Source organism: Homo sapiens, chromosome 6 (genome assembly GCF_000001405.40).
Source record: "Homo sapiens chromosome 6, GRCh38.p14 Primary Assembly".
In the NCBI taxonomy this organism is placed as follows: domain Eukaryota; kingdom Metazoa; phylum Chordata; class Mammalia; order Primates; family Hominidae; genus Homo; species Homo sapiens.
In genome coordinates, this window is record NC_000006.12 from 130957175 (window position 1) to 130973413 (window position 16239).

A 16239-nucleotide genomic window follows, 5' to 3' on the forward strand; every position below is an offset into this window, starting at 1 on the left:
AATCACACTTTTCTTTCTATATATAAGAAAAATATTTAAGGGCCATAATCCAAACCAAATGAGGACATTATGAGGTGGAAAAAATGCATCTGACGATTGTTCTTATCATAACTAATTAGAACAAAATTTAAATAAATTCTGAAAATAACTAAATTTTACATAAGCAAAGAGGGACTTTTAAAGTGTTACAGCACGCTGACATAAAGAACAACAGGCGGGGCCTGCGGAGATAGCCGATCACATTCGCTCTCCCCTCCCTTGCCAATAATAAGTGCCCAGAGTCCTGGCACCCTGGACAACGAGTAGTGTCCCAGCTATCTTCAAAGGTGGTAAAAACTTAAGAGACGGACATGGTTATTCCTGTAGTCACAGCTACTTGGGAGTCTGAGACAAGAAACATGCTTGAGCCCAGGAGTCTGAGGCCAGCCTGAGAAACAGAGTGAGACCCCATCTCTTAAAAAAAAAAAAAATTGTGTTAACTTTTTAAGTGGTACAAACTTGAATAAGTCAAAAAAAAAAGTACACTTGTTTTAAAGCTTTATTAAGATATAATTCATGTACCATAAATTTCACCCTCTTAAAGTATACAGTTAGTGATTTTGAGTATACTCACAAAGTGGTACAACCACCACCACTAATTCTAGAGCATTTTCATCACTCCAAAAAGAAATCCTGTGCCCATTAGTAGTCACTCTGCATTCCCCGTCGCCCCCTGGCAACCTTACGAATATATCCAAAACCACTGGATTGTATACTTTAAAAGGGTGAATTTTGTGATATGTAAATTTTCTCAATAAAAATAACTTAAAAATGTTTTTCACATCTAATATGCAACCACAAAAACAGTCAAGTCAATTCACCTATATAATGGCTTCTACGATGTGGTAAGTTCATGGGCACATGAATAAAGACAACCTTTGAGGAGCTAAGGGAGTGAGGGCTACAAATAAGCATACATTAAGTCAATAGCATGTTGCACAAAAAACACAGGACTAGGCCAGGTGCAGTGGCTCATGCCTGTAATCCCAGCACTTTGGGAGGTCGAGGAGGGTGGACCACTTGAGGTCAGGAGTTCGAGACCATCCTGGCCAACATGGCGAAACCCCATCTCTACTAAAAATACAAAACTTAGCTGAGCGTGGTGGCACGTCTCTGTAATCCCAGCTACTCGGAAGGCTGAGGCAAGAGAATAGCTTGAACTCAGGAGGCAGAGGTTGCAGTGAGCCGAGATTGTGTCACTGCACTCCAGTCTAGGCGACAAAACAAGACCCTGTCTCAAAACAACAACAACAACAAAAAAAAAAAAAAAAAAAAGCAAAGGACTTAAGCCAGGTTAGGAGAAGAAGAGGGTCACCAGGCAGGCGTTTCTGCAGAAGTTGACATTTGAGTTTATTTTTTAAATGGGTACTCATTATTCAGACAAAATAGCCAGAATGGAAGGTATGTGTCAGGCATAGGGAGTTGTGTGGAAACATGAGAACATTCCTCATAAAAAAGGAAACCACAGGCACAGAACAATAATCCACTGTACAAGTGAAGTGGGGGCTTATGAGTGAAGACAGGACAGGCGGAAGCTGAACTGGTAATAATGAAGTAAGAAAGGAAGGCAGAAGCCAAAACATAAAAGATTTTGTGTTATTTTAAAGGCAATGTGGGGGTTATTTGAAAAGCAATGAGAAGTTACATAAGTACTTGAAGTAGAGGAGAAATGTAATAAGATTCTCATTTCACTTAGCGCAACCTGGCTGTAAAGCACAGGATGAAAGAAAAGACTGAAGCAGAAAGACATCCAGGAGATTGGGTTGATCTGATCTCTGGTTGATCCAGACCTGAGAAGACGATGGTCTATATATACTACAGCAGAAACAGTAGGGTAAAGAACAAGAAATTAATCTAATGGTAAAGAGGTAGAGTGGATATGACTTGATGTCCGGGCTGAATATAGAAAGTCAAAGAGAGGAAAGAGCTAAGGAAAAGGCCCAGGTCAAGGAAGACTAGGGTGATGGTAGAACCATTCATGGAAATGGGGAACACCTGTAAAAGTGGGTCTGGCTGACACATATAATTCAATTTTGAATTCATTGTGATTGAGAGGTTGTGGAGATGTCTAGATGACCCCAAGACACACAGGTTTTGATTGGAGACTAGATACACACTAGAGATAGGGTTTGGATGTTGTCATCACATGGGGATACATCACCTAGAGAAAAAGGGTAGCTTAAACTGAGAGGATCCTTAAAAGAGCTCTTATCACCATCAACATATAAGGTGAGGCAGAAGAAAAGGCATGAGGGCCAGAAGAAATATGTAGTGAGGCAGGGAGATCAGGAGACAGTAATATCCCTGACAGCAATGCTACGTAAGAGGGAATAGTTAACTATTATACCCACATATTCTTTGCTGCTTCTCATTCTCAGGCATCTGAAATTCAAAAGTATGTCTTCCAGCAAGACCCGAGGACAGGTAAACTGGCTCCATATTGCACAGAAAACCTTTTTTCCTTCTTTAACATACCATTTCCCATGTACTATTTAAGTGGACAATATTATTTACTTTAATCATGAAATAACCAAAGTGTATTTCTAGTATATGCTCTCTAATTACATTCTGAGAGCTGAATAAATGTCCTGGTAAAATTAAAACCAAAATGCCCCATACTTGTCTAAGCTAACCAAGATAAATTGGCAGCTCTCTAATTACTTTGGCTGTGAGAAATAGTCTGGGAACCAATCAACTAAGGCTGATTTTTGGCCAAAATATTTTAGAAGCAGTGAAATATAAAACTTGAGTTTCCACTATTATGTTAAAAGCATTAATAGTTGTTTATATTTTAATCATAAGGGTTTCCACTCACTGTTTACTGTCTGACACAGTGCCCATAATCTGTTTCTCAAAATATTCTACAAAGTATGTATTATCCCTGTTTTACAAATAATAAACAGTAGTCACTTATCCAAAGCCACTAATGGAGAACCACACAGCTGTGTATACCTTCCCTCACACACACTTCATAATGCAATCACAGCTCCATTATGCACGAATGACCTACTCAACCACAGAGTCCTTGGCCTAGTACTCAAAGAAGGTTCCTGCCAGTTAGTGAAAATGACTATGAAATAACATAAATGTATTCTCAGATTTATTCAAAATATTCTCTCTTAAAAGTAAGAAATTTATAGATGAATTTAAATAACAAAGAAAATCCCATTTGTACGTTATTGCTTGACCATGTAATCATAACTGAGCTGGTTGACAGACACTGAAGACAAAGTACAAATACAGACAGGAAGAGCACCGACAAAACCATATGGTTAAGCCTCACGAAGTCATCCTCAATCACCACTGTATTCACAACACCCATAAGGGTTAAGAGCCTCAAAAGTGATGATCAGTGTCACCCATCCAAATGGAAGTTACAAGACAGAAAACAATGGAAAAGACTAATTGGATCATTACTCAACATATTCTTGAAACAGTTTCAAGAGTTCAACAGAGCTCAAAACAAAACACTACCTTCTTTGTTGATAAAATGGCTTCTTGAACAAATTACCACCATCAAGAAAACATGATTACAGTACATCCACTCACCCTAATTATCATGCCTATAACCCTGAGTTTCTTTCATATGTGGATAAGCCTTTAAACTCTATCACCCATGAAAATGAGAACTCTTGTAGTGGAATGCTGACATTCCCACTAAAATGAAAACTCCATGAGGGCTGGGATCTCTCTTTTATATACTGCTATGTTCCCAGCATCTAGACTGGCACATAATAGGTATCTATTAAGTACTTACTAAATGAGTATTGTTCAATCATCTAGTCTAATATCCTCACTTTATTTTATCAACAACCAAACTGAGGATCAGAAAGACCAGGAGATTTGCCTGAGATGGTAAAGTCAGATGGGCAAGCCAAAACTGGAACTAAGGTTTCCCAAACTCTGGCAATGCTCATTGACTAATATTTAATTATAATTACCCAAAATCCATCATTAGTATAGTTATATAATACATTAAGTAATGATCTTTCTACTTATCATCAACTAAAAAGAACACTGCTGTGAACAGCCCGCCCATTAGACAAGCATGTGGTTTTGACACAATTACCATGTTGGCATGCTCCATCTGGGTTGATAAAAGTGTTCGTCATTGTGACAGCTTCATGAGAAAAAGCATGCATCATTTAACATGCAATGAAGCAGAAAACCATCATCAATAGAGGATCAGTACTGGTTAGGTAAGGAGCTGTGTTACATAAACCCATTCTTTTTTTTCCAACGTTTAAAAAAGGAGGTAAATTCTAATGTGCTATCTCTATCACTAGGCTGAACTGCCAACCATATAACATCATGCTACTTAAAACATTGGCCCTTAATCAGAATACTACAGCAAGCAAAGCAAAGCAGATACACAACCTCACAAACACACAAACAACTTCAAGCAAGGGGTTCATGCTAATTCTTGGGTTCAGATGTTTCCTTAAAACATTGAGGAAACTGGGACCTTACTGTTAACAAAACCCCTGAGCAGGGAACAGGGTAGGTGCTGCTGCCAGCTGAGTAGCTCCCATTCTTTGCTGAGATCACAAGCAATATGAGAGTCTTTAATTTCTACCAAGAGAGCTCAACCCATTTTGTAAGGATCCAAGATTCACAAAATGGGAAGGTATGTATTTCTAAGCTTCAAAAATGGTAGCAAGAGGATGGAGGGAGGCTTTCATTTGAGCTTTGAGAAAACAACAAAACTTTGCAACAAATAACCATTGAACTTAAAACATATTGGCAATGTGTAGACAGTTCTGGCCATTTTCTACATCGGATAAAACTAGTTTTCATCTGCTTGTGGGTAGAGGATATGTAGAGCATCCTGCTGATACCCACAATCACGTGCTTGTATGTTCACCTCCCCGAAGGGCCTATAGCTATTGAAAGAGAAGGTCTTTTAATAATGCACTATTTGATGCCATCAAACGTGAGGGAAAAAAAACAAATGTAGAAATGATTCAGCAGCCACCTAACTCTACTTGGGAAATAAAGAGGTGATGCTTCTCAAATATATTCATCATTTAAAAGGAGAAGGGGAAGAGGCAGGAGAGGTGGGGCAGAGGGGAAGGAGGAAGTGGGGTGGGAAGGGGAACAAGGAAGAAGAAATATCTGGAGAGGAAGAAGGAATAACAAAAACAGGCAGACTTAGAGCAGAGTGCAAGTAAGTCCTTACCCTCACAGGTTTATGTTTCTTAAGTGTCAGATGGTCTAGAAAATACCATACTTCATATTCAAGTAAGTATAAATACATTCCAAAGGGACTATTTGTTAGTTCATATTATCTATATGGGGAGGATGAACAAGTAATCCAATGCTGCTCACCCTAGTTACCTTTATAACCCACTATATCACTTGTTTATTTATTTTTAAAAGGATAAGGGACCTATTAGACAGAGCTATTACTATAAAGATGTAAACTAATATCCGGTTTAAATTAAACCCACACATACAAAACATATGAACTACAATCTTCCCTAGTTCAAGTCTAGATGGGATCAGGTGACATTCAGATATATTTCTTCCACTCTTTCTCCTTTTTAATAGAACCTAAATTTTGTTCCACTTTCCCCCCTTCCACATGTGTTTCAATAGAGGCTAGCTCCAGATTGGCCTCAAGGGTAGCTTCTATTGGTCTAGGGCAATCATGGTAGTCTCCCACCCCTTGGCAAGAAAATATGCACGAAGTCCACTGGTGGGCTTCTGGAAAAGGATCTCTCCCTCTAAAAAGAGCCAGAGGAAGAGGAGGCCCCTTCTGCTGTCTCTGAACATTGTATACATAACTCTGTTAAATGCTGTTGTCATCTTGAATCCACAGAGAAGAATAAGCCTGATGACACACTGACACACAACAAAGGACACTGGCAAGAGAATCACAGAGAAGAGGACCAGCTCCTTGATCGCGCCACACATGGCCCAGTCCTGTGCTGGAGCTTCCTGTTTGTGAAATCACATACTCCTCTCTGGCTCAATGAGCCAGGGATTCAGTTACTTGTAGTCAAAAACATCTTGATGTTGACTTCTGCATATTCTGAGGAGAGCATTAGAAAATAAGGATTAAGAAACTGAGAGTACATATAGATCTTGGGTCATTATTACTCCCACTGCATTTTACAACCCTCATAACTAAGAGCTATGGTTGTCAAAGTATTCCATTTTTTCCAAATGATGTTCAATTTTTAAAAACCTAATACTTGAGTTAATATTAGTGAGATAAATCACTAATTCTTTACTCTAACAACTCTAAATAAGAATGAAACCAAAAAAAATCTTACTTTATCAACATATGAGTCCCTTTCTTCATATGTTGGAGACAGGGGTATATGAAAACTAAGGCATAATTTTCAATAACATCCAGTTGCAATAACAATCAAGGTAACAATCTTCTTTGTTGAAAGAAAGCCCCTACTGCTGTCACTAAGGATGGAGACAAGAAAAAGACCTGTGCCAGGCAAAGCATTCTCCACCAGCAACTAAGGCAATCTTGGAAATAGATACGATTTCCTGAAGTTAAAGCTAAACAACCAGAGGCCATATATAAATCATGAAGGACTCTAATATTGGGTATTTTTATTCACATAACCATAATGCATATAAACCTTGTAATACTGGCAATCCAACAACACACACTAGCAGAGATTATCTAGAGACATCCAGAACCCTGCTGAGTTCTCATCAATCAATTATGCACACTGAGTTGTATGGTCAGAAATCTTGGTGAACTGCATCTGCTCTAATTCCTTCTCTCAGGTAGAGGCCCAATTCTGTGTAATAATCAAAGCTGAAGCTATATTCTTTCTTTTCTTTTCCTTTTTTTTTTTTCACACGAAGTCTCCCTCTGTCGCCCAGGGCTGAAGTGCCATGGCATGATATCAGCTCACTGCAATCTCCGCCTGCCGGGTTCAAGCGACTCTCCTGCCTCAGCCTCCCAAGTAGCTGGGATTACAGGTGCATGCCACCATGCCCGGCTAATTTTTGTATTTTTAGTAGAGATGGGGTTTCACCATGTTGGCCTGGCTGGTCTCAAACTCCTGACCTCAAGTGATCCACCCGCCTCAGTCTCCCAAAATGCTGGGATTACAGGCATGAACCACTGCGCCCAGCCTGAAGCTATATTCTTTCTGTGAGAAGTTACCTATGTCTGAATAAAATAGCCTGGTGGCTTGGAGATGAAGACTGTGAAATAAAACAGGATTAGAATTTCAGCTCTGCTTATTAGCCATGTAACCGCAGACAAGTTATTTTAGCCTTGCTGAGTTTCAGCTTCCTCATAAGCAAAAAAAAAAAAGGATACAAAATGTACTCACTGGTTGATTCTAAGCATTAGATTAGATGCTATAATACATAAAGTGCCTGGCACATAATAAATTCATAATAAATGATCAGCTACTGTCATCACATAGAGATTCTGCCAAGAAAATAACTATATTTGTTTACTAAAATAATAATAATAATAATAATGGTAGTAATAACAGTAATCACAACAGAAATAATCATGATAATATCAGCTATTTGTTAAACACTGCTCTAGAAACATGGCATGCAGCAACTCGAACCTTCTCAACTCTTCTAGGAAGGAACTGAAATTATTCTCATGTTACAGATGAAGAAGGTAAAAAGAGGATAGATGGGTTGGTCAAAGCCATATAACCAATAAAGAGAAGTGCCAGAATTCAAACCCAGGCCGTCCAGCTCTAAAGACCTTGTACAACACTGCCTTCAATCCCAAAACGACTTCACTACTATATAACTTGCACCTAGCATGATGCCCGACAGTTAATGATTTGCTGAAAAGTGAAACTGATAATTACCACTACCTTTTGGGGCTTTATAATCATTAGCAGCATGTTCTAATGGACCACCCCTCATGAATTTTAGTGACCATCAGGATGTGAGTGGGGTCAGTATCTTATCCCCTTCTTTCAAGACAAGTGTTTATTGAGTACTCTCAAAGCATATGCACCAGGCACCAGTAATACAGATGAAAGAATCCTGCTCTCAGTATAGTGGGAGACATAGGTAATAAGATTAGCATTCATAGTCAAACAACTTGTAACCAATTCATAAATCTTGGTAATTTAGATTTAAAAATTACTACTAGTTTGAAAAGCAGCCACGATTTTCTTGTTATCTCTTCAGGAAATCACACAATGAATGGTCCTTCATAGGAAATACTGGTTAAACACTCATAACATACAAAATAGTCATTACATGATTTTTGGAGAGGACTAATTCTCCTTCTCAATTTTATTTGGTCTCTATCTGAATTCAAGTAACTTGAATAAAAAAGCCCAATAAAACAAGTCTGGTGTAAGTTGCCTCAACATCAAAAAAATAAAAAACAAATTTTATTTTTAAATTTTTGGCTAGGCCAATTTAAATCATCGGTCCAATGGTGGGGAAAGTGGCCAATGGATAAACAGTTATCAAAAAAAAAAAAAAAAAGAAAGAAAGAAACACAAGTGGCACATAAACATATGAAGAGGTACTTGTCACACTCTTAGTAAAAGAAATGAAACTAAAAATTCAGAATGGAGACATCCAAAAGTTTAATCATGCACTCATTGAGCAAGACTATGGGAATGCAGGCATTCTCAAACAATTGCTAGCAGAAGAATAAACTGGTATGGGCCCAGTGGAAGTCAATTTGCCAATAGCTTTCAAAATTCCAAATGTGTCCACACTTTAAACTAGTAATCCTGCTTGTGGTAATGCAGGGGTGTCCAATCTTGTGGCTTCCCTGGGCCACAATGGAAGAAGAAGAATGTCTTGGGCCACACATAAAATACACTAACAATAGCTGATGAGCTTTAAAAAAAAAATTGCAAAAAAAAAATCTAATAATGATCTAAGAAAGTTTACAAATTTGTGTTGGGCAGGATTCAAAGCTTTCCTGGGCCTCCTGCGGCCTGCAGGCCACAGGTTGGACAAGCTTGTGGTAAGGTATCCTACAGATATATCTGTGCATATGTAAAATAATTATGTAAAGGTGACTCACTACAACACTGTAAAAGCTCAGGATCCATGTCCATCAACAGGGGGTCTTATACCACACATTCATACAACAAAATACTATGCAACTGTAAAGAGAAAAGATGAGAAAGGCTGCCGCCCCACTTGGGATAATAACTCCAATTATTAAGTACATTGTTAAGTACAAACAGCAAGATTCAGACGGTATAAGTGATAGGTCACTTTATATGGATAGGATACCTTATACAGACATCACATCTTATAGGTTGAAAGCAAAGCGTGTGGGAGATACACAAATAAAGGATGCGAATATGCATATGTGAATATGCACACATACACACACACATTTTCCTTTAAATGAGTAAAGAAACTGGGGAAGAATGCAAGAGAGTAACAACAGTGATTATGGGGAATGGAGGGTGGTGCTGGGTAGATGACTGCCGAGGTACAGATATGGGAGACAATGTTTTTAATGAACAGAAGTTTTCATAAACTTAAACACTTAAGTACTTTACTAGGAGAACAATATTTATGCATTAAGTGAACCCAGCTTGGTTAGCCAGCTTCCTTGGAGACAACACGTGCCAATATGACTCCCACAAGCCACGATGCCAATTTGCCTTGTCACACAGCTCTAGCCACACAAATGAACATCGACTCCAGCTCAGCAGTAGCATTAAGATGGCCTAAGCTTTGGATTTCCTAGCGTATGAAGGTTAAGACTGTTTCTATATCCTCAAAGAATCTGATTTCTGCCAGCCTTCACTTCAGTATATTTCACAAACCCACCACTTACCCCCAATCTAGATTGTTCCCCTAAGTAGTTTAAGCTCAACACCCAAGCTTTTAGTGCAGCAACATTTTTTTTAAGAAGTGTATCAGTTCTTCATTTAAAAAAATACAGTTGTCCCTCAGTATCTGTGGGGGATTGGTCCACAGATACCCAAATCCACACATACTCAAGTCCTGCTGTCAGCCTTACCGAACCTGTGGACAGGAAAAGTCAGCCATCTATATCCAAGTTTAGCACCCTACAAACACAGTTATTTTCAACCTGAATTTGGTTGCAGATACAGAAGTTGCCTATATGGAGGGCTGATTAGATTTACTGAAAAAAAAACTCACATATAAGTGGACCTATGCAGTGTGGGCTCATGTTGTTCAAGAGTCAATTACAGTTCCTGAGAAAACGTTGCTTGTTTTTTATCCTTTTTTCCTCAGTGTGGACTTGAAACAAACAACTGGCTTTTGCTAACAATAATACCGGTGCATATGCAGGCAGCGTAAAAAGATTATTCGTATTCTCTGCTGGAGGGCTGGGAATGGGGCACTTGGAAATAGAGTTCTCTGAAAGTTGGGGACATTTTTTTTTAAAGGCAGAGTAAACAGAATGGGAAGAGTCCTATTAAATGTCTAAGCTGGTCATACATAAACATTCCCCAATCTCTTTCAGCAGCTTCCTCCTCACAGGGAAAAGCAGGAATAAAATTGGCCTGAAAGCACAAGCTTGTCATCAGTTTCCTGTCCACACCTCTTCCCTGCCCATCTGCTACTATATTCATATGAAGAGGGTAAAGCTTTTGTGCAGATAAAACAACTACATGTTCCTAGCACAGTGTTTGCATCCAGTGGCTTCCTGATAAATATCTTTTGTGATGTTCCTAGTATTTAGGGAACATTTATTTGGGCCACCCCCCTATTAATGCTCTATAGAAAAAAAAATGCTAACGTGCAGTTTATTCCAGTGACATCATAACCAAGCTCAAACCAGAGCACGGCCAATACCAACAAACTCCCATGATCATGACAGATGCCAGCGAGTCTATTTTTCCTAAGCTCACCCCACAACTATCTTATGCATAAAATGGCTCCTCAGCCCCATCATAAAACTCGTGCCCACTTGGTATCCAACAGTAATCAACAACCAGTCTAATACTATTTCTGTGTGAATCAAACTCAAAAAAATAACAGTAGTGGTACAAGAGGCATTTCCCAAATAAGCAAACGACAAATCCACCAAGGTTAACTGCACAGGATAAACGCACAGGCTGCAGACGCTGCATTTTAATAGGTCATAAGACAAAAGCTTGTCAAAGTCAATCAACTCCCCCACACTATGACAAGTCCACCAAGCTGGAGCCTACACTGATCTCATACTTTCAAATCCTCTTCTCTATAAGCTTTGGAATGCTGTAGTCAACAGGCATAAATACCTAAACCTCATAAAAAAATATAATTCACTTTTTAAATTTTGGCCGTTAGTTCTTCTGCCATTTTAAGTAATTATAGCACTACTAAAGAGTTCTACCAATACATAGCATATATTCTAAAAACTAAGACTATAAACTGAATGACACTTCTAGCTTAAGCAAGCATATCCAAATGTTGGCCCCAGTCCACTGGCTGATCAGCAGAAGGTGCCAGAGAGTATCCAAATTATGGACCCTCCAAGCCTGGCTTGATAAGAGCAACTTTCCCTCGGCGGGAAAAGCTGTAACTACAATGGAATTACAGACATGCCATTTGGAGTGCTATAAAACCTTTTTTTTTTTTTTTTAAAGTTAAGTATTTCTACTCCGAGGATTCACTTAGTTCAGAACTACTTAGCAAGAACTTCAAATAACTATTTTTAGGTGGTGGTGGCTAGAATACGTTTTTACTTCAGTGAAATGTATTTGTTTTTTTAGAGGTAAAATTCTTGAAGTTCAACATTTGCAAAAGTGATTTGGTAGAGAATCATGCTGGAGAATATGTCAGGCATTCAACGTCTGGAGTCCACCAAAAAATGCAAGCAAAACCAACGTCAAAGTTTAAAATTTACCTTTCCAATGTAACTTTCCTTGTGATCCTGCTATGATACTAAACTATAGATCACCAATATATTATATCATCCGTACAGGAACACTACAAAGCAGATGTGGGGGATGATTGGCTGTCCAGGTCATCAGCATCACCTCAACAGTTATCATTTATTCAGCACCCACACCCACGTTGCAAATAATTTGAAGAGACAATTCTTCCTTGTGACAAAAAAAAAAATGGAAAACTTAAACTTCCCAAGTACACATGTACCCCCCTCAAAATACCATAAATACTTCAGTGATATAGAGCATCCCTAACAGTGTCAACAATAAAAAAGGAATCGCAGAGGTCATCTGCTAATTACAGTGGCCCTGTTTTTCATTTTGTCAGTAAGTCGCAATGAAGCAAGGATCTTTTTAAAGACTGCTAGACTGTTAGATTATATAAAGAACACGCAAGAAGATTTTTTCCCAAGTCTGGATGTCAGAATCTGGGCAATATGCATTTTCACATTTATTCAATGTGACAACCAATTAAATATTCAGTAATAAAAGAAGATGTTGATACCTATTCTTATTCTATCAGTATTTACTTAGGGTGTGACAATATCAAACCAATAACCAGACTTTGGTAACTGTTAATGGCTAATAATCTACAGATTATTAGCTAAAAACTGTGAACTCAAATCTCTGATAGCTACAGTACAACTTCTTTTAATCAAACAAGTTAGGGTGAAAATGAAGCACTTTATAAGTAAATTGAAAGTTATTACTCTTTAAGATGCTAAAAAGAAAGTAACTGCACACTATTAACCTTACATAGTCCTCACTGTGCTTCCAGAAATAATATCATACTGATTTTGTACAGTATTATGTCATACCACTGAAAAAATTGTGAAACAACCAGACAAGCATATAAAAGAAACCAACTAGCTTCATTATTCTCATAGGTCAAACCTGAAAAAGCTATCATGTTAAAGATAGCCTGACAAAAGTCAACATTTGCCTAGAAAAATGCAAACAAGTCATCTAAAACTAAACTCGGCCCAATGGAAAAATGTATTTTTCACAGGGCTTAGTTCAAATATCACAACATATTCCCTTGCGAAACAGTGTACGTACCCAGATTCCATCTACTCTGTACATTAGTATTTTCCTAATTTTCAGTCCCCTGACTAGTCACACTTTCAATAGCAAACTTCCTCCACAAGCAGAAACAAACAAGCATGTATCACAAAACCCAACCACTGCAACAAAAATGTCCTAATAATCGCCCCCCTTGAAATACATACGCAGCTTTTAAGCACATCAAGCCCGCTGTCTGCTATTTCCTGTCATTGGAAAACTGTGGAAAGCTGATGGAAATCCAGCGTCCAAAAGCTTAACGAGCAAGACTGGCTCCACCCAAGCCAGACCCTGCTGGAGAGGGACATGCTCAGTAGAAAAGCCCAGTTTGGTTCCAAGTCACTTCATTCCTCAGCTAGAAAATGCACATGGGTCAAAGAAAAAAGTCAGCTTCCTGCTGCCTGTTTTACCCACTGAATGAAGAACCTTCGGCATAGAAACCAGTTTTAATGACACAACTGTAATTCTATAATTTTTATAAAATTCTTCTATCCTGAGATTTTTTCTCATTTAGTTTTCCTGGTTATGACTTTTGCTTTGCTTTGAGTCTCCATCCTGCAACTTTGTTTTTATTTTTGTCATTTTAATTCATCCCAGAATAGACACCAAAAGTATATGTACACAACATAAAGTAGTCCCCCTTATCCTCGGGGAAAGAAGCCCAGTAAATGCCTGAAACCATTGACAGTACCAAACCCAACTCATCAATTGGAATGTGTTTCTTCTGTTCATGTCTTCCACCCACAAATTTAATGCCTTGTACTTTTTAAATTTTCTTACTTATTTTCAGAGACAGGGTCTCACCCTGTCACCCAGGCTGGAGTGCAGTGGCACACTCATGGCTCACTGCAGCCTCGACCTCCTGGGCTCAAACAATCCTCCCACTCCCACCCCAGCCTCTCAAGTAGCTGGGACCACAGGCATGCACTGCCACGCCCAGCTGATTTTTTTACGTTTTTGTAGAGATAGAGTCTCACTATGTTACAGACCAGGCTGATCTCCAACTCCAGGACTCAAGTGATCATTCTGCCTTGGCCTCCCAAAATGTTGGGATTACAGGTGTGAGCCACCGCGTCCGGCCACCCTGTTACATCCTAACTAAGCACTTATGCACTGTGGCCATAACTTTTGCAGTTTGAGGTGCGACAGCCAAACTAGCACAAATTTATTTTTCTTTTTTCACAATTTCACAGGTTGAAGATTAGGTTCTTACCATAGATCTTAGCAACCTCAGCATGCGATTTTTTTCCTTTTCCTTAAGAACTTTCCCCTTTTCACTTAACGGAAGCACCTGATGGCTTCTCTTTGACATATTCAAATGGCCACTATCACTATTCTTGTACTTTTATTACGTAGAATAAGGGTGATTTGAACACAAGCACTGTGATATCACGATAGTCAGTCTGATCACCAAGCCGGCTACTAAGTAACTGACAAGTGGCTGCTTCTACAACATGGAGCCACTGGGCAAATGGATAATTCACATCCTGCACAGGATGGAGCAGAGAGTGTGATTATTTCATCATGCTACTAAAAATGGTTTGCAACTGAAAACTTATGAATCGCTTGTTTCTGGAATTTTCCATGTAATATTTTCAGACCACAGATGACTGCAGGTAACTGAACTGCAGAAAGCAAAACTATGAATAAGGGGAGGCCTACTGTACAGCCTACTCATTTTTATCTATAAATTACTATAGACAAACTTTCAGATATAGAAAAACTGCAAATATATCATCCATATTTCAACATTAAAAAATAAAATATTCATTTCAACTCATTTATACAAGAATGTCTATTCATTCAACCTGTACATAAAAATGGAGGTGCATTTTAACCTAGATAGTATAGTTACCGTGATGTAGCTATAAAGCTGTTAAATCCTTGTTTCATATTTCAATCCTAAATTGAGACATGACTAAAAATGGCCAGGTCCAGTAGCTCATGCCTGTAACACCAGAATTTTGTGAGGCCGATGTGGACGAATCACTTGAGATCAAGAGTTCTAGACCAGCCTGGCCAACATGGCAAAACCCCATTTCTACTAAAAATACAAAAATTGGCAGGGTGTCGTAGCGCATGCCTGTGGTCCCAGCTACTCAGGAGGCTGAGGCAGGAGAATTGCTTGAACTCAGGAGGTGGAGGTTGCAGTAAGCCAAGATTGCGCCATTGCACTCCAGCCTGGGCAGCAGAATGAGACTCCATCTCAAAAAAAAAAAAAAAAAAAAAAAGGAGAAATGACTAAAAATAAGATAATACTACATCCACCTATCATATGACTCTAAAGAAATATGGAAGCAACATAAATGTAAAGTCACTAAAAGAAAATGTGTCAATTCTAAGATTCAGCTCAGCACAATCTGAGAAATAACTAATGTTCCTTAACTCTACAGTACCAACCACCCTTTACATTTCCACAATTTAAATTCTGGGTTTTTTTTTTTCCCAACACACATATTTGCCTTGACAATTCAGGACTCAGATAGACTATAAGTGCACTTGTGCATTTCTACAGCTTTACCCAACTACTGTGTTACTCTCCTGCAAAGCAGTAGTAATTATCTGTTCACATTCACCTACAGCAAAGTCTTTAATGGGTCTCTTGTAAATCGCAAAGAAAATGCTTTAGATATTTATTAACAGATAAACAAGATGTCACCAGTACCAACTAGCAGAAAAAGTAAGGTTTGCAGCCAGGCGTGGTGGCTCACGCCTGTAATGTAATCCCAGCACTTTGTGAGGCCAAGGTGGGTGGATCACGAGGTCAGGGATTCGAAACCAGCCTGGCCACCATGGTGAAACCCCATCTCTACTAAAGATACAAAAAAAAAAAAAAAAAAAAAAAAAACAGCCGGGTGTGGTGGCGCACGCCTGTAATCCCAGCTACTCGGGAGTCTGAGGCAGAAGAATCGCTTGAACCCGGGAGGCGGAGGTTGCAGTGAGCCGAGATCGTGCCATTGCACTCCAGCCTGAGTGGCTCCATCTCAAAAAAAATAAAAAATTTTAAAAAGTAAGGTTTGCTTAATGGGAAGACTTGATGGAAGTCTTCACTTCTCTTCTTCACTTTTTCACTTTTTTAAAAATTTTATTTTGGTAAAAGTTTCCATGGCACCTCTGAAGAGATATTCATCTTTGTCAAAATGGGCAGACACAAAACTTTTTTTTTTTTTAAGTCATTCTACATAGTGGAAGTAAATTTTACTACCCATCATAAAGTTTTCATTGGTTCACAAAGGGGCAATTTGGTGAGTTTTTTAGTAGAGCCAATTTTATTCAATTCAGAGCATCATCCCTTATG

At 38.7% G+C, this 16239-nt stretch overlaps 1 protein-coding gene across 23 annotated transcripts in view; it reads right to left on the reverse strand.

The window, feature by feature from the left end:
* The window catches only part of EPB41L2 (erythrocyte membrane protein band 4.1 like 2), a 223899-nt gene that overhangs the window by 117828 nt on the left and 89832 nt on the right, over positions 1-16239 (reverse strand). For 5 of the 23 annotated variants that reach the window (NM_001350313.2, NM_001350310.2, NM_001350306.2 and 2 more), the window contains exon 1: positions 13109-13165. The exons of the other annotated variants lie outside the window; for them this stretch is intronic. The gene's annotated coding sequence lies outside the window, so the exon portion shown is untranslated. Of the gene's footprint in view, positions 1-13108; positions 13166-16239 lie in introns of those variants that run through there. 23 annotated transcript variants of the gene reach the window in all.